General features: G+C 42.1%; 1 protein-coding gene across 10 annotated transcripts in view, besides 3 other annotated features; it reads left to right on the top strand.

Annotated features, from left to right (window-relative positions):
- Nucleotides 470-23261, top strand: part of ARSB (arylsulfatase B) — a 208750-nt gene continuing 185958 nt past the window's right edge. For 8 of the 10 annotated variants that reach the window (XR_001742066.3, XR_001742065.3, NM_000046.5 and 5 more), the window contains exons 1-3: nt 1118-1491; nt 17236-17422; nt 21822-22012. Coding sequence is in view for 8 of the 10 variants with exons in the window: in NM_000046.5 (NP_000037.2) it covers nt 1180-1491; nt 17236-17422; nt 21822-22012 (690 nt within the window). In the remaining 2 variants the exon portion in view is untranslated. Of the gene's footprint in view, nt 530-869; nt 1492-17235; nt 17423-21821; nt 22013-23261 lie in introns of those variants that run through there. The other 2 variants (XM_011543390.2, NM_198709.3) reach the window with 1 other exon arrangement.
- Nucleotides 936-1795: a silencer, noted in NCBI's record as "silent region_16127". NCBI's record gives its function as "represses an Ori minimal core promoter by ATAC-STARR-seq in GM12878 lymphoblastoid cells {active_cell/tissue: GM12878}" and the evidence as "EXISTENCE:reporter gene assay evidence [ECO:0000049][PMID:35858748]".
- Nucleotides 10757-11275: an enhancer, noted in NCBI's record as "H3K27ac-H3K4me1 hESC enhancer chr5:78270976-78271494 (GRCh37/hg19 assembly coordinates)". NCBI's record gives its function as "activates a minimal SCP1, AML or CMV promoter by ChIP-STARR-seq in primed H9 embryonic stem cells {active_cell/tissue: H9 hESC(primed)}" and the evidence as "EXISTENCE:reporter gene assay evidence [ECO:0000049][PMID:30033119]".
- Nucleotides 11276-11795: an enhancer, noted in NCBI's record as "H3K27ac-H3K4me1 hESC enhancer chr5:78270456-78270975 (GRCh37/hg19 assembly coordinates)". NCBI's record gives its function as "activates a minimal SCP1, AML or CMV promoter by ChIP-STARR-seq in primed H9 embryonic stem cells {active_cell/tissue: H9 hESC(primed)}" and the evidence as "EXISTENCE:reporter gene assay evidence [ECO:0000049][PMID:30033119]".

Genomic DNA, 23261 nt, shown 5'->3' with positions numbered 1-23261 from the left:
TATGCAAGCGGAGGTGAAACTGTTTTCCTTGGTAGTGGTGGAGGGGAAGGATTGCTACTCCGCTGGATAAAGTTCATTTGTGTATATATAAATAAGAATTATTTTCCATTGTTATTTATCTATAACTTATAAAGTTGTAAACAACTTCCACGGAATCAGACTCAACCTGGAAGGGTATGGTCTCTAGGCAATGCAAAAATTTTCCCCTACACCTGTTAACAACTATAATATCTCCAGACAGAGTAGACAGAAAGTCTGGATGGCAACGGGAATCTACTGGTCATACGGCTAACTTCCTAATTCAATAAGCACGTGACTAAAGGATTTTTTCCTTCCACTCAGATATTTCAGGCTAACTAGATACTGTGTGCTTCTTAGTGTCACTGCTTAGTGGGGGAGCCAGCTCTGAGTGGGGTCATATCCGGACAAGCGAATGAGCTATTTATTCAATGACCACGCAACACTCCAAATCCTCCCAGGGCAACTTGAAAGTAACCGCACCTTCCAAAGGGCACCGTGCAATCAGACTGTGTGTTTGGCCTCCTGTTTGCTAGTGGGGAGGAAGCGGCTTCATGGGTGTACACTACGCATAAATGAATGTGAAAGGCTATTTAGACCTCTGCCTTTTCACCGTCCTCCCACCTGCCACAGGCTGGGCTCTTGTGCTAGAAATGACTTGCTAGCTAGACATCATGGTTCAGGATCTGAGTCAGAGGTTTAACCATTTATAAGCTTTTTTCTTATGAAAAATTGGCACTAATTATAATGTCTAACTGTCAGAGTTGTTGCAGGCTTTACAGGAGACGCGGGCTGTGAAGATGCTTTGTAAATTGTGAAGCGTTATTAAAGAACACATCTTTTTTTTTTAGGAAACCACAGTGCAAATTTAATTGCCGGGGAAGATAACGGGCCTTGGTGCCCTCCAAGCGTCAGCTGAGTTTCCAAGAAGCCGGGCAGCGGGCGCCCGCGGGTTCGTCTCTGGCTCCTCCTCCGCCACAGCAGCCGGGGGCCCGGGTCGGAGGCGGCGGGGGCCGAGCGCCCGGCCTCGCAAGCCCACGGCCCGCTGGGGGTGCCGTCCCGCGCCGGGGCGGAGCAGGCCCCGGCAGCCCAGTTCCTCATTCTATCAGCGGTACAAGGGGCTGGTGGCGCCACAGGCGCTGGGACCGCGGGCGGACAAGGATGGGTCCGCGCGGCGCGGCGAGCTTGCCCCGAGGCCCCGGACCTCGGCGGCTGCTCCTCCCCGTCGTCCTCCCGCTGCTGCTGCTGCTGTTGTTGGCGCCGCCGGGCTCGGGCGCCGGGGCCAGCCGGCCGCCCCACCTGGTCTTCTTGCTGGCAGACGACCTAGGCTGGAACGACGTCGGCTTCCACGGCTCCCGCATCCGCACGCCGCACCTGGACGCGCTGGCGGCCGGCGGGGTGCTCCTGGACAACTACTACACGCAGCCGCTGTGCACGCCGTCGCGGAGCCAGCTGCTCACTGGCCGCTACCAGGTACGCGGCGCCCCCGCCGCCCGCGCCGCCCCCGCCCCGCCTTTCGCCGGCGCCCTGCCGCTCCTACCCGGCCCTTGAGGCCGCGGGCGCTGGCAGGCGGGGCTCGGACCGCCGACCCAGTTATGGGTCCCGGCGGCTTCTCGCCCCAACCTCGCTCTTCCAGGCCGGCAGCCCGCCGCGGCCTCTGCGCATGCCCGGCTCTGGCGCCCCGCGGACCCGCGCCCCGGCCGCCGGGTTGGGCGGGTGGCTTTGTCTTTCGTTTTCTGAAGCTCCGGGCGAAGGGGTTTATGGGAATGCCGGGTGCTGGGCGCCGCGGCCGGCAGGCGGAGCGGTCCTGAGGTGGGAGGCTGGGGAGGGCGTGGGCTGGGAGCAAAGACGAGGGGAGAGGTAAAATGAAGGGGTGCTCGCCGTGGGTGCGACCCTGGCCCGTGGGAACCCAGCGGTGATAGGTTAGGAGTGTCCCACCAAAGATTATTTTTTTCCAGGTTCTCAACACCCCTGGAATGAAACCTGATGCTAGGTTGATTTTTCTTAGGCTGCTGACATTCCTTTCACATGTAACCTTGTATTGAACTCTTCTGAGCATCTTCATTATCGCTTTAAAAGCTTCCCTTTAGGAACGGCTCCACAGTTAACGAAGGAAATATAAATGTAGAGCGTGCATAGATGTTAGATGGCTAAGAATATCAAGAACATTTGCATAGCACTTTGTTGTTTTTAAAGTGAATTATTGAAACAGTGCATGAGGTAGTTGTTTTTACCCCGTTTTACAGACGAGGCAGGAAGCCTGTAAAGGCTCGTTGGCATAAGAATCGCACAGCTAGAAAGTGGTCAAGGCAGTGTCCGTTGTGCTTTTCCTGCATCCACTGGTCGTCCCGGGCTTATGAAATTGGCCTTTTTTCCCCTCAATCTGAATACGATTGTCATATTTCTAAGACCCTGAAGTTATTATGACCATATTAAATACAGTAAATGGGAACTGTTGGATACCACCTGCATGCCTTCACAGAGTACATATGCTGTTTACTCAACAAAAATATTTTGAGCTTACTGTGCTACTGACAGGGGATATATATTTGAATGTTGCCCTCCCAAGTGTGTGTTCGCATAACCTGTCAGATCAACCCTAGCCTCACGTGGTCCTAAGATCAAGAGAAGGGAGGGCTTACTTGTGATAAAGATATGCGCAGTGGTCTGAAGGCTTTTATAAAGAGGAAAGATTGGGTGTTGCTAAGGGTGAGAAATAGCTGTAGCCAAGGTTAGAAATGGGAGTAAAGGATGCTTCCCTTCACCATCCACCTTAGTACTTTTGGCGGTTCTGACCTTGGCTGCTACGTGTAATTAGGAATCCCCTACATTGTGTAAATCTCACCCTGGACACTTTGTGGGAGTAAAGGGATGTGCCAGTAAAGAAGAAGAAGAAGGGAAAGGTGAGGTTTGCCCAAAGGGTTCTGCATTTGCTTTGAAGTAAGAGAACTGAACTCAGATTGCAAAAGAATGGAAGGGCCATTCATTTCTCCAACTTCCTCCCTTCCAACAGAGTTGGACAGGAAAGCAAATACCAACTTCAGAAACCCATTCCTGGGCCGGGAACGGTGGCTCACGCCTGTAATCCCAGCACTTTGGAGGCTGAGGCAGGTGGATCACCTGAGGTCAGGAGTTCGAGACCAGCCTGACCAACACGGCGAAACCCCGTCTCTACTAAAACTACAAAAATTAGCCGAGTGTGGTGGCATGCGTCTATAGTCCTAGCTACTCGGGAGACTGAGTCAGGAGAATCGCTTGAACTCGGGAGGCAGAGGTTGCAGTGAGCCGAGATCGCACCACTGCACTCCAGCCTGGGCGACAGAGCAAGACTCCATCTCAAAACAAAATAAAATAAAAAACCCATTCCCGTAATCAGTTGCTTTTGTCCCCTAACATCCTCCCCCACCAGTCACCAAAATTATGTCTTGGAGAACAAACTTTAGTATTTAGAGTACCCCATGGTTATGAAGTAAAGGATGAGTAGAGAAGCTGGGCACTCTGAAAGGTTTAGAGGCCTCTCAGTGTAGCTGATTCTAAAGCAGCCTTGCTTCCCCAAACATTTTTTTTCCTCCAGTTTTCTCACCCACTTTATTCTCTTAGAGTTCATGAGACCCAAGTAGATGTTACCCAGGGTGAGCAAGTGTCCACTTTTAATGAAGTAGAAATTTCAGGGAAGGCTCAGGAGTCTCCGTCAGATACTATATGCTGGTATTGTTCTGAGCACTTACAAGTGTTAACTCATTTGATTCTCACAACAACTCTATCATCTCTGTTCTGTAACAAGGAAACTGATGCTGGAAGAGGTTAAGAAACTTGCCCAAGGTTACAGGGCTAGTATATGTTGGACCAGGATTTGACCCAGGGCACGTGGCCCTAGGGTTGATGCCTATAACCACTAAGCCATATTGCCTACTCAAAATTATTAAAAATAACATCCCAAGGACTGCTTCATACATACTAAATAATCCCTGTATTACTTTTGGACATTTGGGTCATTCCTAAATATCTCAAGGTAAAGAATCAACCCATCATATTTCTGAGTTAGGAATTGCCTATATTCCATGTAAAATAAAAATAGATTTTATTTCTGAGTCATTTGTTATGCATAATTTTAGACAATAAAATGAAGGAATTTTTTGACTGTCTCAAAATGAGTTACTTGAAGGAAGTTGTTAAGAGTCATATCTGGCCGGGCGCGGTGGCTCACGCCTGTAATCCCAGCACTTTGGGAGGCCGAGGCGGGTGGATCATGAGGTCAGGAGATCGAGACCATCCTGGCTAACAAGGTGAAACCCCGTCTCTACTAAAAATACAAAAAATTAGCTGGGCGCGGTGGCGGGCGCCTGTAGTCCCAGCTACTCGGGAGGCTGAGGCAGGAGAATGGCGTGAACCCGGGAAGCGGAGCTTGCAGTGAGCCGAGATTGCGCCACTGCAGTCCGCAGTCCGGCCTGGGCGACAGAGCGAGACTCCGTCTCAAAAAAAAAAAAAAAAAAAAGAGTCATATCTATGAACTTGGCAGTCATGCTTTAAGTTAATATTTACAGACCCCTTTCCCATAATTATTTAACTTTAGAAAAGAAAAGCACAAGTTGATAAACAAGCCTAGACTGACTGGACTTTATACTCTCATGAAATCCTGAGTTTTAGTTTTTTTGGTTTCAGAAATTATTTATTGAGTAAAGAGGACTGGTTAGGAACTGAGATGTAGGTTTTGGTCTTGGCTGGTCAGACTGTGACCTCGCTGGCCATCATTTCCACATCTGTGAAACAGAGGAGTTGGGCTGAACTCTAGACTTTGTCTAGCTCTAAATTAATTTAACTCTAAGGCTCTTGTGTCCATTAGGGCGAGTTTCTAACTTGGCAAATGCACATTATCATACCTATCATACTAACCCCATCTACTGGTAGAAAGATTAATCTTGCCCAACACAGTGTATCTTACAAATTGCGTGTACTACTTGTTCTGCTGCTAGGAACTTACTTAATTCAGCCTTTTATAGTGAGACATTTAATTGTTCACAGCCCTCACAAATGAACTATTTTAAATGTGCATGCTATGGTGAAATATGTGTAGGGACTGGGTACAGGTTGGAGGCAATGGAGGAGACTAATTAGCAGATGGGGTAAGTAGTTACTGGTAAATTCAAGAACTAGAAATTCGGCCGGGCGCGGTGGCTCACGCCTGTAATCCCAGCACTTTGGGAGGCCGAGGCGGGCGGATCACGAGGTCAGGAGATCGAGACCATCCCGGCTAAAACGGTGAAACCCCGTCTCTACTAAAAATACAAAAAATTAGCCGGGCGTAGTGGCGGGCGCCTGTAGTCCCAGCTACTTGGGAGGCTGAGGCAGGAGAATGGCGTGAACCCGGGAGGCGGAGCTTGCAGTGAGCCGAGATTGCGCCACTGCACTCCAGCCTGGGCGACAGAGCGAGACTCCGTCTCAAAAAAAAAAAAAAAAAAAAAAAAAAAAAAGAACTAGAAATTCAGGTCTCTCTACACTCAGGCTAGGGGCCTTCCCACAGCCCTATGACTCATTCATTCATTATTTGTGAAATCTTTAAAAAAATCCGTATTTTATTTTTAAAATAGAAAATACATTCACATGGCTTAAAAACTTAAAAGCTGCAAAAGGGCTTACAGTGAAAATCTACCAAAACACACACACACACACACACATACACACACTTCCTTAGACATTCAGTTCCTATGTTTGTAGACAAATAATGCTCTGAATTATATATTTTTATATATCATTTCTCTCTTTTTTCTGTATGAATGGTAACATACTCTTCACACTGATCTGCAGCTCCTATTTTGTTTGTTTGTTTTTACTTAACATTTGCAATCATTCCATTTTGTTGACTAAAGATTATCCTCACAGCTTTTAGGGCTGCATAATATTTTGTTAAATGGATACATTGTAGTTTATTTAGCCAGTTGCATACTGATGAACATGTAGGTTGTTTCCAGCCTTTTGATATATCAAAGAATGGTGAAGTGAATACTTTGCACATATGTCATTTTGTACATATTGGAACGTATATGAAGGATAAGTTCCTAGAAATGGAATTTTCTGGGTTTAAGGATAGATGCATTTGTAATTTTGATAAATATTGCAAAATTGCATCTTAAGGGATTGTACCAATTTACATTCCCACTGGCAATATTAAGTTATAGTTCACATCCTATATAATTTACCATTTTAAAGTATCCAATTCAATGGTTTTTTGTACATTCACAAGGTTGTGTAACCAATATTTTCATCACCTCAGAAAGAAACCACTCAACTATTAGCAGTCACTCTTCATTTCCTCATTCCACCAGCCCTTGGAAACCACCAGCCTTCTTATTATCTATGTGACTTTACCTATTTTGGACATTTCATATAAATGGAATACAATAGATGTCCTTTCATCTATGTTGTAGCATGTATTGTTCCCTTTTATGGCTCAATAATATTCCATGATATGGACATGCCACATTTTGTTCATACATTCATCAATTCATGGACATTAGGTTGTTTGCGCTTTTTGGCTATTATGAATAATGCTGCTGTGAACATCCATGTACAAGTTTTTGTATCAGCATATTTTTTAAGTTCTTTTGGGTTAATATGTAGGAGTGAAACGCCGTATTGTTGCAGGACTTCTCCTTAGTTCAGCTAACGATGAGGTCCTTGTCTGTCCCATGGCCATGAAAATTCAGGCTCGCAGATGGTTTGAAGGGTGAGTAAAGCAGGGTTTTATTGGGTGAAAAGGAAAAAAGGGGGAAACAGGGACCCACTGAAAGGTCAGAGTCCCTGCTACAGTGCTTCCCTCATTGCCCGTTTGAATCCCAGGTGCCATAGGAAGAGGAGAGGCCAGGCGCCACCTCCGTGGCTCCACCCCAGTGCACAGTCCAGCTGGAGTTTTGCCAGGGACCCCCTCCCACCTGGCTGTCTTAGTATCATGTGGTAACTCTATGTTTAACTCTTTGAGGAATTGGAAATTGTTTTCCACAGCAGCTATACCACGTTATATTTCCACTAGCAACGTATGTGGGTTTTAGCGTCTCCACATCCTTGCCAACACTTGTCATTATCTTTTTGATTATAGCCTTCAAGTCATCCTAGTGAGTAGGAAGTGGTATTTAATTGTAGTTTTGATTTTCATTTCCCTAATGACTAATGATGTTGAACATCTTTTAATGTCTTATTGATCATTTTTATGTCTTCTTTGGAGAAATGTTTACTCAGATCCTTTGCCTGTTTTAAAATTGGGTAATTTATCTTCTCATTCTTGAGTTGTAAGATTTCTTTATGTATTCTGGATACTATTAAATAAACCCTTACTAGATAGATTATTTGCAAATATTTTCTCCCATTCTGTGGATTGCTTTTTACTTTCCTGATAGTGTCCTTTGATGTAAACAAAAGTTACAAATTTTTATGTACAACTTACCTATTTTTCTTTGGTTGCTTATATTGTTGGTACCATGTCTAAGAAACCATTTTCTAATCCAAGATTATGAAGATTTACCTCTATGTTTTATAGTATTTTATAGTTTTCAGTTTTTACATTTAGGTCTTTGATCCATTTGGAGTTCATTTTTATGTACAATTTGAGGTATGTGGATGCATGTAGGTGTCCAAATATTTCAGTGCTATTTGTTGAAAAGAGTGTTCTTTCCTCATTGCACCCTTTGCACCCTTGTCAAGACTCAATTGACCATAGACGTATGACTTACAATTCTATTCCATTGATCTACATGCCTATCCTTATGCCAGTGCCTCACTGTCTTGATTGCTGTAGCTTTGTATTACAAAGGTTTCAGAATTAGAAAATGCAAGTCTTCCAATTTTGTTATTCTTTTTCGAGATAGTTTGGCTATTCTCGGCCCCTTGCATTTCCACATAAATTTTAGGATCAACTTGTACATTTCTATTAAAAAAAAGGGAAGTGGAATTTTGGTAGACAGGGATTTCAGTGATCTGTAAAACTATTTGGAGAGTATTACTACCTCAACAATATAACTCTTCCAATTTAAGAATATGAGATGTCTTTCTGTTTATTTAGAGGGTTTTTTTTTTTTTTTTTAAGACAGAGTCTCACTCTGCTCTGTTGCCCAGGCTGGAGCACAGTGTTGGCTCACTATAACCTCTGCCTCATGGGTTCAAACAATTCTCCTGCCTCAGCCTCCTGAGTAGCTGGGACTATAGGCACCCACCACCACGCCTACCTAGTTTTTGTATTTTTAATAGAGATGGGGTTTCACCATGTTGGCCAGGCTGGTCTTGAACTCCTGACCTCAAATGATCCACCTGCCTTGGCCTCCCAAAGTGTTGGGATTATAGACGTGAGCCACCACACCCAGCCTATTTAGGTCTTCTTTAATTTCTTTCAACAATATTTTATAATTTTTAGTGTGTAAGCATTGTGCTTTGGTTAAATTTATTCCTGTTTTACTATTTTCAGTGGTATTGTAAATGGACTTCCTTTCTTAATTTTATTTTCAGTAGTTCATTGCTGTTACATAGAAATGCAACTGATATATGTACATTGATCATTTTGCAACCTTAATGAACTTGTTAGCCCTAATTGTGTGTGTGTGTATAATCTTTAGAGTTTTTTAGTGCAAGATCATGTCATCTGCAAGTAGAAGAAGTTTTACTTCCTCCTTTCTAATCTAGATACCTTTTATTTCATTGTCTTGCCTAATTACCCTGGATAGGACCTCCAGTGCAATATTGAGTAGAAGTGGCATGAGTGGACATACTTGTCTTGTTTCCAATCTTAGAGGGGAAGCTTTCAGTCGATCACCATTAAGTGTGATATATTCATTCATTCTTTCATTCAACAAATGTTTACTGAGCAGCAAGTTACGCCACTGTACTCTGGGAATCTCTTGGTGCTTATAATCTGAAGGGGGTGAGGTAAGGAGAAGGAGTAACCAAGAGGGAAGTGAAATAAATACAAACAGGCCAGGCGTGGTGGCTCACGTCTGTAATCCCAGCACTTTGGGAGGCCGAGGCAGGCGGATCACCTGAGGTCAGGAGTTTGAGACCAGCCTGGCCAACATGGTGAAACCCTGTCTCTACTAAAAATACAAAAATTAGCCAGGTATGATGGTGCGCACCTGTAATCCCAGCTACTCATGAGGCTGAGGCGGGAGAATTGCTTGAACCCGGGAGACGGAGATTGCAGTGAGCCGAGATTGCGCCACTGCACTCCAGCCTGAGCAACAGAGCAAGACTCCATCTCGCGGGGGGGAAGTGGGGAAAGAAAGAAATACAAACAAGTAAGGTGAATTTAAATAGCATGACAATACATGTGGAGAAGAAAATAAAGTAGGTCAAGTGATCTTGACTCAGGAAGGTGTCTTCAAGGAGGTAGTATGAGCAGAGGCCTGAATGAAGGGAGTCAGCCATGCACATATCCTAGCAAAGTTTAACGTGGAGGAAGGAGCAACAGAAGCAAAGCTCTTGAGGCTGGAACGAGCTTGTTGTAAGAATGAGATGGTAGCTGAGTGAATGAGGGTGCCAGAGGCAGGCCAAGAGCTAGAGGAGGGAGGCTGGGTCTCCCTGGGTTTAATGCTGCCCACCCATTAAAAAGTGTTAAAACTTGAACTTTTTTTGTGTCAGTTTTTATAGTAAGGTGACATTGAGGCTATTATACACTAAAGAACATTTCGAATCTAACAGTGTTCTAAATGGGCATATTTTAAGGAAATACAGTCAAGTGCCATGTGGCATTCTTTGGATGCATGTAATTCCAATTAGAATTAATTGTACATATTCTCTCTTTTTCTTTAAAAGAAATAAGCTTGGCTGGGCGCAGTGGCTCATGCCTGTAATCCCAGCAATTTGGGAGGCCTAGGTGGGTGGATCACTGGAGTCCAGGAGTTCGAGAGCAGCCTCGGTGAAATTCCATCTCTATAAAAAGTTAAAAAATTAACCAAGTGTGGTGGTAAGCGCCTGTAGTCCCAGCTACACAGGAGACTGAGGTTGAGACCCGGGGGCAGGGGGGTAGATGGCGGGAAATCGCTTGAGCCTGGGGAGGCAGAGTTTGCAGTGAGCCAGGATGGTGCCACTGCACTCCAGTCCAGGTGACAGAGTGAGACTCTGTCTCAAAAAAAAAAAAAAAAAAAAAAAAAAGTAGCCTGTTTTTAAAATCATCTCCAGGAAATACATTCAAAACCTTCAAATATAAAAGATGTAAAAAATATAAACATGTAGATGAGGATCTTTTCAGCCTGTCTCCCCACCCTCCTTCCCATAGGCAGCTCCTGTTTATTGGTTTCTTGATATCGCTTGGAGGCATGTTATGCATATGAGAAAATCGATTTTATATTTATTTTTCCCTTGTTTAAAACCTCAAGATTAAAAATATTAATTTAAAAATTCTCCAGCTTTTCTAATAGAATTTGTGTACTGCATTTAGTTCAAATAGAAAACTTAATATTACTAATTTTCCATATTCTTACAAATTGACTTTATTCTATACAAAATATTCATTATACCTTTGTTATTCCTAATACATATTTTAATTGTGATAAGTGGTTCTGAGGTCTGACTTCTCCATTAGATTGCCTTGTCTGTCTCTGGGCTAAAGAAGCACTCAGTGTTGGACAATTAAATGATCAAATGTGAGAAGCACTTTTACACAGTTCGTGAAAGAGCTCACCATCTTAATTAAACTGCTTGAAATTGCCATGTCATTTCTAATGCCTTTACTTCTTTTTTAAGAAATTGAAAAGATTAAAGAGTAAGAAAGTGATAGGCCTTAAAGGAAAACACTCTTCTGGGAAAATAGTTAAGAAAAGTAACTCTGGTCCTCAACTGGGAATGTCCTTACCTTGGGTACCAAGGGGGCCACTCCACCAGAACTCCATAAACCTTGGCACAGAATAGAAGCAATGAAAGATGACTCCAAGGTTTCATTCTTAAGGGATCCAAACCACATTTTTCTTAATCACACTGATAAATGGACAAGACATTTTCACGGCTTTTCACTCACCCCTGAGGCGGAACCTTGGACAGGAAATATAGGAAGGAGGCTGTGCTGGAGCATCGTGGGTAATTTTTGACTTTTGCTTCAAGTTTGCTTCAAGAAGGTGAGCAGGAAAGATGCATGCTGCAGGCAGAAGAGGGCATGGTGGTGCAGGCGCTCTGCCTGAGCATGCCCTCCCTTTCCTGCTTCTTGTCCTCCTCGCCCTCACTGTCCTGCCTGCTCCTCGCCTGCTGGCCTCTCAGTGGACTCCTGCCAGTGGTCGCCTCTCCCTGGACTTTGAGGTTCAGAAGTGGGGCACAGGAGAGTGCAGAGCTGGAAGAAATGTTTACAGGGTGCAGGGATTGGGGAAAGTGCATGTCTCAAGGTGGGCGCTCCTAGGATCCCCTGGCAAAGGCACAGGAGGAGGGAGCTGTCAGAGGACCATGTAGCCTTGAGACCATGGGTGCCTCCTAAGAGAAAACAGTGTCTTTATTTCTGTGCTCCTTTAGGGGGAGAAACAAAGGATGCATTAGCTCCATAGGGACAAGCAAGATGGCCTCACTAAAGCACAGCAGAGCCCTGGGGTGACTTTCATGGGTTTGCTAAAGCCAGGTGTCCTTCCTAAGCCTAGCCAAATCCAAGAGACATTTTCCCAGGAGGGAAGGGGAGTGCGGAGGCCTCATTCTGCAAACATTGCAGCTATTTTAAAGAAACAATTCCAGATTTTATATCTTTTACCTGCCAGGAAATTGCAAATGAGGAAATAAGGAAATAAGTTTGGAGCTAAGTGGAATATGACCAGTGGAGTTAGAGGATTTTCTGGTTGCTTGATTTACGAGGTTTGTCATTTCAGGAATCACTTTGAGCATAAGCTGTTGCTCTCTGGTCATTATCTTTTGTTTGCGTTTCCTTAATCATATCACCTTTTGAGAGATTCCTTTCCCTCAGCTTTCTTCATATTTTCCTTCCTTTTCCATTTGGGCTTTCTTTGGAATTATAATTTAAACAGAGGGAGGCACTGAAACCCTTTCTGACTTGTTTATTCTTTTTTACAAACAACATCCCTTTGTGGGTTTAGTCAGAGATTTGCACTCTTCACTAATCAACACCAAAATAAATAGACTCTTAAAACTGTCAGTGACACGGGCCAGTTCTGCAGCCCGAGTCCTGAAGGGCCAAGCCAGATGGCAAAGCCAGGCCCCTAGCACACATAATGCGTGTCTGTAGGCTCTTGGCTTCAGCAGCATGGGCAGCTGACTGCTTTTCAGATGGCTTCTGTGGGGAGGGAGCAGATTTTCCACTATCCATTTGTTCTTTGGGCATCTCCAGGAATAAACCCTAAGGTGGCACAAGTGTTACTTGACCGTGATTAAAACCTGCTGTGTACTGGCCGAGGCACAGGCTAGAAATTCTGAACTCCTGCTTTGCCACCAGCATGTTCTGTGATTGCGTTCTGATCATGAAGCTTCCCATAGGCTCTCTGGTGTATAAGGTGGAGGGGTAGAGTGGCCCATTTTTCTGAATTTTTAAGTACTGCAGCAGGAGGTATTGCACACATATGTGGGCACATGAGGATATGAGTTCATTTTGCTCAGACCAGACTGACTGGACAGAACCTCCCTTCTGTTCAACGGGATATTATCTCAACACTGTTGAGGTGAGGAGAGAAAGAGCATCTATCGCCTTCTGTGCAGCAGTGGTTTGCTTCGCTCTTGGGAGAGTTTGAGTGTAGCTGAAATATTGTGCTCTGAACTCCCATATAGATAACTAATCAATTGACTGTCTGGACCTCTGAAAGGGGAGTTGAAAGAGATTCTGATATGGGAGCTGCCATCTTCCTCTCCCCCAGCAAGAGATTGGATTTTCTCCTTTAAGCTCATGAGACTATACTGCAAGGAACTCCTAGGTGTGCAGAAGACAGAATAACACACTGGACCAAATAAATTGTTACGTGCAACCAATATGTAAATAAGGATCTCTCAGTTATGTCACAGAAAGAGCCTAGAACAAGCCAGGTCCTCCACTGGATTTGCAGACCTTTTGCCTTTGTGGAGAGGATTTTTGATGGTCAAGTAAAATCTTAGGAGAAGTTGTTTTTTGAGAGAAGATTTGGTTTAATGAAGAGGAGACAGCCACACATGGTAGATAGGGAAGTAACCCCTTGGACTTTCGTATATTACATGTAGAACCTTCTCCATTCACACACACTTCTTTGGACATTGCAGATGGGTGTTAGAATGAAATTGTTTTATATTCTGTTGTGTTTATCAGGGCACCCTTATTTTTTTCTTTTGATTCCTATTGGTGCCCGGTTGCCTTCCTGCCCCTTGCAGCATGGCGTGGCTCTGTAGTTCTGTGCTGAAGTGCTGGGTTGGAACCAGTTCGGCATTTGCCTGTTTACTGCTTCTCTACACATTACAGCTTCCTTCCTTCAGATAGTGTTTGAACAGACCGAAAACATGTTTTTGGATGTCATCCAGGGTTTGGCTTCTGCTTCCCAATAATGCCATAAAAATGCTCTGTCAAATAAATTCTCAGGAACTGAAAAGAACACATTCCCTGCTCCATATGATTGTCAGTAATGGAGGAAGGCTTCAGCTGACCACCTGGCTTGGTGCCCACGGCTTAGGAAAACCAAATCACACAACATCTCTTGGCAGTGCTTTCTAGCAATCAGAATTAATTCTCTGCATGTGATGGATGAGCTTTCCATTTAAGGGAATTTTCGCAGAGCATTTATCTCCACTGGGGCTTTTGGATTCCATAAAATATTATCTTTACTTATCCTGCCTGGTTGCCAATTAGCATACTATATGCTATGAAGTTTTTGAGTCCTAGGGTCAATTTTCTCTTCAGTAAGCTTCCAGAGTTAACCATGGAAAGAATACTTTGATTTGGGGTGTGTGTGTGTGTGTGTGTGTGTGTGTACGTATGCGTGCAAATGTGCTAAGAGGAATGCTTCCCTTTCCCAGCCTGGATATTATAACATCCTTATCATTCAGGGTCCCAGCTGGAAAGAGGTGGCACATTCAAATTAGGGAGGGTTTATTTACAAAGGGACCATTTTAAAAGGTGTGAATGTGTGGGGCAAAATGCTAGGGATAGTGTAGTAATCCAGTGGAGCTGTTACTACTCCTAGACCAGAAGAGAAGAAAGGAAGGGCCAATTACCAGAACCTAGAAGGAGAGAGGCAGATAGAGAAAGAAGTCTGCTTCCAGAGTGACCTTTGGTAGAGAGACTCATGTAGCCAGGCTAAGCAGCGTGTCAGGTGAGGCCATGCACTCTCCTCTTTCCCTCTCACTCCTGCCAGGGCTCCCCATTGGCTAAGCCCAATCAGAAACCTGAAGACAAGTGTCCTTTGACTTGATCCTCATAGGTCAGCCTCCTAGGGCAGAGAGCAGGACTGAGAAAGCAGCGTGGATTTGAAGGGCAAACAGAAGGTATCTGACACATCTCCCAATGTAGATAGGTGTCTAATTATTTCTAGGAGAGGCATAACAATCTCAGTAGGAAACTTAAACTCACTTTTATTTTTAAACAGTTTTATTGAGATATGATTGACATACAATGAACTGTACACACTTCAAGTATACAATTCGATAAACTTTGATAGGTATATACCTGTGAAACCATCACCACATCAAGATAGTGAACTTAACTATCATCCTCAAGATAAACCCACTTTAACTTAACACTTAAGATATTCCATGTGGTTCTTTTAGGAGGATGTGGAAAGAGATCATGCAGTAAAGCAATAGCAGGTGCAATTCCTAACTTACTAAAGTTATTGAAGTTAGTGAGTTACTGAATGAAGTTACTGCCCGGGGTTACAAAGCTCATAAGTGATAAAGCCAGGATGGGATTTAATCCTCTGAGCCTTATGCTATTCCACTTTAAATTATAAGGCAAATAAAATACTCACAAACACTTATAAAAATCATTTGTTAGCAACAAGTTTCTTGCTCTCCACCTTATAGCTGATGAAGGGACCAGCCGTGGCCTGGGTTGAGAACTGGCACTCTTACCTCCTGTGTCCCCAGAGCCTGTTTATTCTATAAATCAAGAGCTCCCAGGGCTGGGGAAGGCTGGTGTCTGGTGCAGAGTTGAATTTGAGACCCCAGTCCCACTTTCTACAAAGAAGAGCATCTCCCTGGCTAAGCCAGGACAAGGAGGCAGGAGGTGTTAAGTTTTAGGGAAGGGTGGGACTGGGTAGACAAGGAGGGATACCCTGTCATGCCGCAGCAGGGGCTACAGTGGCACCCACCAGCACAAGAGCTGTGACAGGGCCAAACTGGGTTCTGGGCGGGCCTTTTGAACTTGTCTAGTAAGCTCAGGTCTCAGGGCCTTTGAAGTTTTTATTCCTTAGGTCTGGATTGCTCTTACCCCGGATTTCTCCAAGTCTCACTGCCTCACTTTATTCTGGTCACTGCTCAAATATCTCCTCTTCAGAAAAGGTTTCTTTCTTTCTTTCTCTTTTTGAGACAGGGTCTTGCTCTGTTGCCCAGGCTGGAGTGCAGTGCAGTGGTATGATCACAGCTCACTGCAGCCTCGACCTCCCAGGCTCAAGTGATCCTCCCACCTCAGTCTCCTTGGTAGCTGGGACTACAGGCACAGGCCACCATGCCTTGCTAATTTTTTCTATTTTTATTTTTAGTAGAGATGAGATCATGGCATGTTGCCCAGGCTGGTCTGGAATTCCTGGAGTCAAGCTAGCCTCCTGCCTTAGCCTCCCAAAGTGTTGGGATTGTAGGGATAAGCCACCCCGCCTGGCCCAGAGAAGCTTTCTTTTGCCACTCTATCACAAGTGCCACCTCTGTCACTGTCTCCCTCTCCTTCTTTACTTTTCCTCATGGCAATGATCACTGTTGGACATTAGAGTATCAGTTCTCAAACTTTTTGGTCTTAGGGTTTTGCACTTGCTTAAAAATTATTGAGGACCCCAGGGAGCATAGATTTAAATGGGTTGTTACCATTCAAAATTTGCCCCATAAGTTAAAACAAATTATAAATTTTTTTATTCAATGAAAAATAGTAATAAACCCACTATATTAACATAAATAACTTATGAAAAAAGCTCTATTTTTCAAAACCAAATAGTTAAGTGAGAAGAATGGCATTGTTTTATATTTTTTGTACATCTTTTCTACTAATAGAAGTTTGCTAGGTTGTTGTATCTGCTTCTGCATTTAACCTGTTATGATATATTATTTTTAGTAAAAGTTGAAGAAAAATCTGGCCCCACAAAGATGTGTAGTTGGAAAAGGGAGGGCTATTTTAATATCCTTTTCATATAATTGTGGGTATTCTACTCAATATTACACCAAAAGTTAAGAAGTGGTCATTGCTTAAAGTTTAGTTGCTGTATGGACCTTATGCCCTGGGCATACTTGTGTGAGCCACTCCCAAGCAGCAGTCAGATGGCCGCTTTTTATAAGAAAAAGTTGAACACTCTCTTTTGAGATAATGATTTACATAAAGTAGAATAAAAAATGCAATAATCGTTTTATTATACTGTTAAATAACTCAGCCAGGCACGGTGGCTTAAGCCTGTAATCCCAACACATTGGGAGGCCAAGGCAGGCAGATCACCTGAGGTCAGGAGTTCGAGACCAGCCTGGCCAACATGGTGAAACCCCGTCTCTACTAAAAATACAAATAAATTAGTTAGGTATGGTGGTGGGCGCCTGTAATCCCAGCTACTCAGGAGGCTGAGGCAGGAGAATCACTTGAACCTGGGAGGTGGAGGTTGCAATGAGCCAAGATTGCGCCATTGCACTCCAGCCTGGGCAACAAGAGTGAAACTCCATCTCAAAACAAAAACAAAAACAAAACCACTTGTAAAAAAATCACCAAGTTTTCGAAGATTACAGAAGTGTCTTCTAATCAAACACCAACTTCTTGTGTGCCCAAAATTGGAACGCTTTTTTCTTGTTAGATTCACACCACATATTATTGCTACTTTTTTTGAGGCAAAAAGTAACAAGTTAATGGTTTCTAACATAGTGCCTTGATAAATATTGAAAATATCTGTTCGTTGGAATGGTTTTATTTGTCTTTCAAATCCTGTTTATGTCCACTACTTCATTTGAATAAGAGAATTCTGCCTTTCAGAAATATCCTCAAGCCAGTACAGGAATAGAGTTAAACATCCAAGTCAACAGATATGATCAGTAAGGTAGAAGGCCATTTTATCTGCTTGTTCACAATATTTCAATGTCATTAATCTATAATTTTATGTTTATCTCTGTAAGATCCGTACAGGTTTACAGCACCAAATAATCTGGCCCTGTCAGCCCAGCTGTGTTCCTCTGGATGAAAAACTCCTGCCCCAGCTCCTAAAAGAAGCAGGTTATACTACCCATATGGTCGGAAAATGGCACCTGGGAATGTACCGGAAAGAATGCCTTCCAACCCGCCGAGGATTTGATACCTACTTTGGTAATGGAAATGCACATGTTTCTTTAACAACTTAGACTAACTGCAGCCATCTCATAAAACACACCCAAGTGCAATCAAATGAAAGAACTGGATATTTGAACACAGAGTGAATCAGTCGGCACTGTAATGGGGCTGCTTTCTAATGTTACCTCTGTAAACAGGGCTCTGTGCTGACCTTATGGTGGGCAAACCCATTACCTTTGTTGGAGTTCTAAATGCCACCTTAGGGCCTTGCAAGAGTTTACTATCCACGTTGGAGACCGCTGTACTCTCAGAGACCCTTATTACCAAAAAGGGATATGGATTGATTTTTTATTTTTTTAATGCCTGGCAAAACCTAATGTAAGAATATTTCCAGGCTGGGTGCGGTGGCTCACGCCTGTAATCCCAGCACTTTGGGAGGCCGAAGCAGGCGGATCACGAGGTCAGGAGATGGAGACCATCCTGACTAACACGGTGAAACTCTGTCTCTACTAAAAATACAAAAAAATTAACCGGGCATGGTGGCACTTGCCCATAGTCCCAGCTACTCAGGAGGCTGAGGCAGGAGAATGGGCATGAACCCAGGAGGTGGAGCTTGCAGTGAGCCGAGATCATGCCACTGCACTCTAGCCTGGGCAACAGAGCAAGACTCTGTCTCAAAAATAATAATAATAATAATAATAATAATAATAATAATAATAATAATAAAATAAAAAATGAATATTTCCTTCACAAAGGTTTGGTGTGTTTTTTTCTCCCTGTGGAATGTATTCACAATTTTTCCTTTTTTTTTGAAGGGGGTGGGGGAAGACTCTTCCATTGGCATTCTTCCACCTGTGAAATCTGTTTTTGCAATCACAAAGTTGGGGAAGATAGGTTTTAAAAAACAAAGGAAAATGAGGAGGCCAAATAAATGGTAATAAGAAGGATAATAAGAAATAATAATAAGTATTTTATAAACTTGATAGCCCTATGAAACTAAATGTGAAACCTAGAGTTTGTTTTAAAATATGCCCTCTTTAAACCTGTAATAACCTGTGCCTGAATTAATAACCTGTGTATCTTGCCAGTAGCTATATATCTTTCTTTCAAGTTCTTTTTATAGTGAGCTATCTGTTTAGCTATTTAGCTACCTACCTACCTCCCATCTGTTCATTTATTTATTTACAACCCTCCGTAGCCAAAAAGGAACACATATTGAACATAGAAAGTTTAAACAGGATTAAATAATCAGGATGAGTAGAAAAAGATGGAATAGGTTAATGGCATCAAATTACAGAAAAGTTGCATGGCTCTAGGCTGTCTTCATATTCATCTCTGATATTTGAAATTTCTTTTTTTTTTTTTTTTATATACGGAGTCTCGCTCTGTTGCCCAGGCTGGAGTGCTGTGTCATGATCTCGGCTCACTGCAACCTCCGCCTCCCGGGTTCAAGCAGTTCTCCTGCCTCAGCCTCCTGAGTAGCTGGGATTATAGGTGTGTGCCACCACGCTCAGCTAATTTTTATATTTTTAGTAGAGATAGGGTTTCACCATGTTGGTCAGGCTGGTCTCGAACTCCTGACCTCGTGACCCACCCATCTTGGCCTCCCAAAGTGCTGGGATTACAGGTGTGAGCCACCGCGCCCAGCCTGAGATTTGAAATTTATTTGTCCGAAGAGGGAGAAAGAAAGGAAAAGACTATAAGAGTTACATTATTTACAAGATAAATGGAAACCAGATGTTCAGGAAAAGCAAAAGCATTTTCTGGCTCTTAGGCCTGACAGAAATTTCTCCTTTGGGAGAAGGAGAAGGTAAGGTGGACAACATCTTTAAAAATGTCATTTTAATAATACGTTAGGTGGTTTTCTTGTAGATGTTTTGAGGTATTTTCTTCTGTTCAAGCTAGGGCCAGAGCACCAAAGTGCAATTCAGTAAAAGTAATTATATGGGGGCCAAAACAATGCAGCTGAAGCACATGGCTCTGTAATGCCTCATTGGATTCAGGGTTAAAATCAAGATGCAAGGATGTCAGACAGGAGGGTGTGTGTGCCCCACTCTCATCCAGGTCCACCAGCAGACCTCACTACTCAATCTTAGCTTTTTTTTTTTTTTTTTTAAATGGACCCGGATGTATTCTCAGTACCTCAAATAGCTGTTAAAATTAGACTTGATGTAAGATCACTTTGTCATCTTGGAAATTCTAGAGGAGCAAACAGCCTGTACATCCTTAGAAATTTTTCAATCAGGCCTTTGCTAAAAGATGAGTCAATATCTATACTCTGGGAAGAGGATGGGCTGTAGATATTTTGAATTGTTTATTAAAACCAAGTTAGGTACTTAAAAATTCAGCTGGACAGAAGGTAGAAATGATATCCTTTTATGAGAATTAAGAAGCCTAACCTGGATTTAGATGAACACACACCCCAAATTCATTTGAAGGGAGACTTGCAGCCAAGAAGGTTATGATGACCACACAGCTCTTCTCACTGTTACATCTCAGCTCTTTTGCTAAAAATCAGGTGATGGTGGGATAGTTGCACAAGCCTGTGAATACACTAGAAACCAATGTCTTTTACACTTTAAATGAGTGACTTGTGTGGTATGTGAATTATATCTCAATGCAGCTGGTACATAAAGCATCAGAGAAGATTTGGTTGTTCAAGAAGCATTTTCTATTTTTTTCCCCCAAAAGCATAGGCTGCCATCATCTTTAGGCTCAGTATTGAAGTTCAAATTTGTGAATCATTATTATGAAGAAAAGCTTCATGTGATTGTCACATGGTTGCTTGGTATTAGTTTTGCCAAGTATGTGAATAGTTTTATTTCTGGAATTCTCCTATCTGTATTATCTTTTAAATATTTGTAGTTCATGCCTTTGCTAATGAAGTGTATCTGTCCTATATTCTGCTAACTGATAGAAAGCAGCTCACACTTAACAGTTAAAGAACCTGAAGTGATTTCCTCAAGCTTTAATGCCCAGTAGTTATTAAAAACCTTAAATAGACCTCCAGTGTTCTGACATTCTAATCACCCATGTAAGGGCTGAAATTATTTTTATGGATACATTTCTTTCTCTGTTACACATTAATTAACAAGTACTTTGTATTTCGTTTTCCATTATATACATAGGAGAAAAGATTGCCATATAAAAGTTATTTTAAGACCAAAGTATTAATTGTATTCAAGATCTTGAATTTATTGAGTCATAGAAAAGGAGAATTTAATTTAAAATGAATTGATTTATTATATAAACTATGTAAAGCTCTTAATTTTCATTATAGGGAAAGTTCAGGACTGAAGAAAGAGCTAGGTCAATTTTATCATCCTCATTTTAAGGTTAATAAGCAGTATATGTCAGGAGATAGCTAAGAGTCTAGCAAATATTTCTTTTTAATAACTTTATCAAAGTATAATTCACATATCATACAATTCACCCAATTAAAGTGTACAATTCAATGATTTTTAATAAATTCAGAAGGTTGTGCCACTATCATGGCAATCCAATTGTAGAACATTTTTATCATCCCCAAAAAAGAAACTCATCCACCTCAGCAATCACTCCCCATTTCCCCCTAGTCCCTCCAGCCCTAGGCAGCCACTAATCTATTTTCTGTCTCTATAGATTTACATGTTGTGGGCATTTAATACAAGTGGAATCATACGTAGCACAGCTTATTTTAATACTTTAAAATATAGAAATATAATATTTTAAAATATAGAAAAGATGGAACATTTGCAGAAACAACTATATTTGAGAAAACCCATTTTCTTCCATGTGAAGTCTAAATTATGGGATAGGCCGTTGATGCCATTTAAATCTGGGGTGAAATTGAGATCATTTTAGGTAGAAAAGTCTTATTTCAGTGCTCACTTTAGTTTGATCTGTTGGCTCTGTTATGTCTAGAGATCCTCTATTAGGAAAGGTTTGTATCTTTCACCAGTGGGTGTCAGCATCTGACTAAAGATGACTCTTCCTAGAACCACTTCTGTAAATAACCTTGAAGCCAGTCTCGCAACATCAGTAACAACAAACATTGTTTGAATCCTGCACTCATTTATGTGATCACCTTAGAGTAAAAACCTGTAACAAGTCACATTAACTGTACATTATTTTTACCATTATATAGCTTTGAAGGATTGAGATTTTATCACCCTTACTGAGTTTCAACTCTGATAAAAAAAAAAACTGTTAGTGTTACATGATAGCGCCTATATTCTAAAGGCGAATGAGGAATAGATTTGAGTTTTTATGCAGTAATGTTTTAATGCCTTCTGCCACCAGATATAGACATGTTGAGAAATGGTGCTGATTAGCCTTGTCATTTGATTAGCCTCGTCACGGGTAATCAATTGCATTAGGCAATTAAATGCTGAAACATTAGTTTGTTTAACAAGTTTTATGCTATGCTGACTATTTTCGTCTTCCATTCTTGCAGGATATCTCCTGGGTAGTGAAGATTATTATTCCCATGAACGCTGTACATTAATTGACGCTCTGAATGTCACACGATGTGCTCTTGATTTTCGAGATGGCGAAGAAGTTGCAACAGGATATAAAAATATGTATTCAACAAACATATTCACCAAAAGGGCTATAGCCCTCATAACTAACCATCCACCAGAGAAGGTAAGTTTTGCTTCTATTTACTGATAGCAAAATCTTGTTACACTAATGTCTTTTCAGACAAATGTAGGAAAAGGCCATTGTTGTTTAGGGAAAAATCTAATAAATTCTAGGGAAGTCCTTTTCAAATTATACAGTATCCCAGAATCAGCCTGGGAAGCTTGTTAAAAAGGAAGATTCCTGGAGCCCACCTCTAGGGTGTGATTTATTAGGCGTGGGAGAAATCCGTACATCAGCATTTTAGAGAAACTCTTAAAAGGTGATTCTTAAGAGTGGTCCCCAGATCACACTTTGAGGAATACTATGTTGGTAGTATTTCAATAGAAATATAGTTTAAAAATTTTGGTATATTACGTGCATGTGCTGTGAGTAATTAATAAAATGACTTAAAAAATGATTGGCTTAGGTGTAAGGTGAGGCTTTATTATGACAAACTTTTGGTTAAGGGATCCATAAATTTTGGGATCAGGGCAGTTCCTCTAACCTTGTACTTCCTCCCTACAAGAATATTTTGCTATTCTAGATCTTTTGCATTTCCATGTTAATTTTAGAATCATCTAGTCAATTTCTATATGCCAGCTCCCCCCTGCCCAAAGTGTCTGCTTGGATTTATATTTGAAACTATAGAACAACTTGGGGAGAATGGATGTCTTAACAATATTGGGTCTTCTAATCCATATACCTGGTATACCAATGAGCTTATTTTTCACATTTACTATACTGATGCTTTTGTGTAACACATGAATAATCTTATTATTATGATTATTTTGTTAACCTAGAGTTAACTTCATGAGGTAAAGTTTAAGCTAAGTTCTCTGGATTTAGCTTATAAATGCTTTTGAAATGGGAACAAATATTTGTATTGTCAGACACTGGGCTCAAAATATGGCTTCATTAAGAACACCCATAAAAATAATACTTCAGTGGGACCCTGACACAACAAATTATAGAATATGCAGTGCTCCCTGGTTCTTCCAATTTCCTGCACTTTGCCTCTTTGACAATGCCTGAAGGTCCTTGGTGCAGGTCTGTCTTAGTCTGTTTGTGTTGCTATAAAGGAATAGCTGAGGCTGGGTAATTTATAAAGAAAAGAGGTTTATTTGGCTCGTGGTGCTGCAGACTCTACAAGAAGCATGGCACCAGCATTTGCTTCTGGGTAAGGGCTTCAGGAAGCTTCCAGTCATAATGGAAGGTGAAGTTGAGCTGGCGTGTGCAGATCACATGGCAGGAGAGGAGAGAGAGAGAGATGCCA

Source organism: Homo sapiens, chromosome 5 (assembly GCF_000001405.40).
Source record: "Homo sapiens chromosome 5, GRCh38.p14 Primary Assembly".
In the NCBI taxonomy this organism is placed as follows: Eukaryota; Metazoa; Chordata; class Mammalia; order Primates; family Hominidae; genus Homo; species Homo sapiens.
Note: the sequence above shows the minus strand (reverse complement) of the source record. Positions and strands in the feature narration are given on the sequence as shown.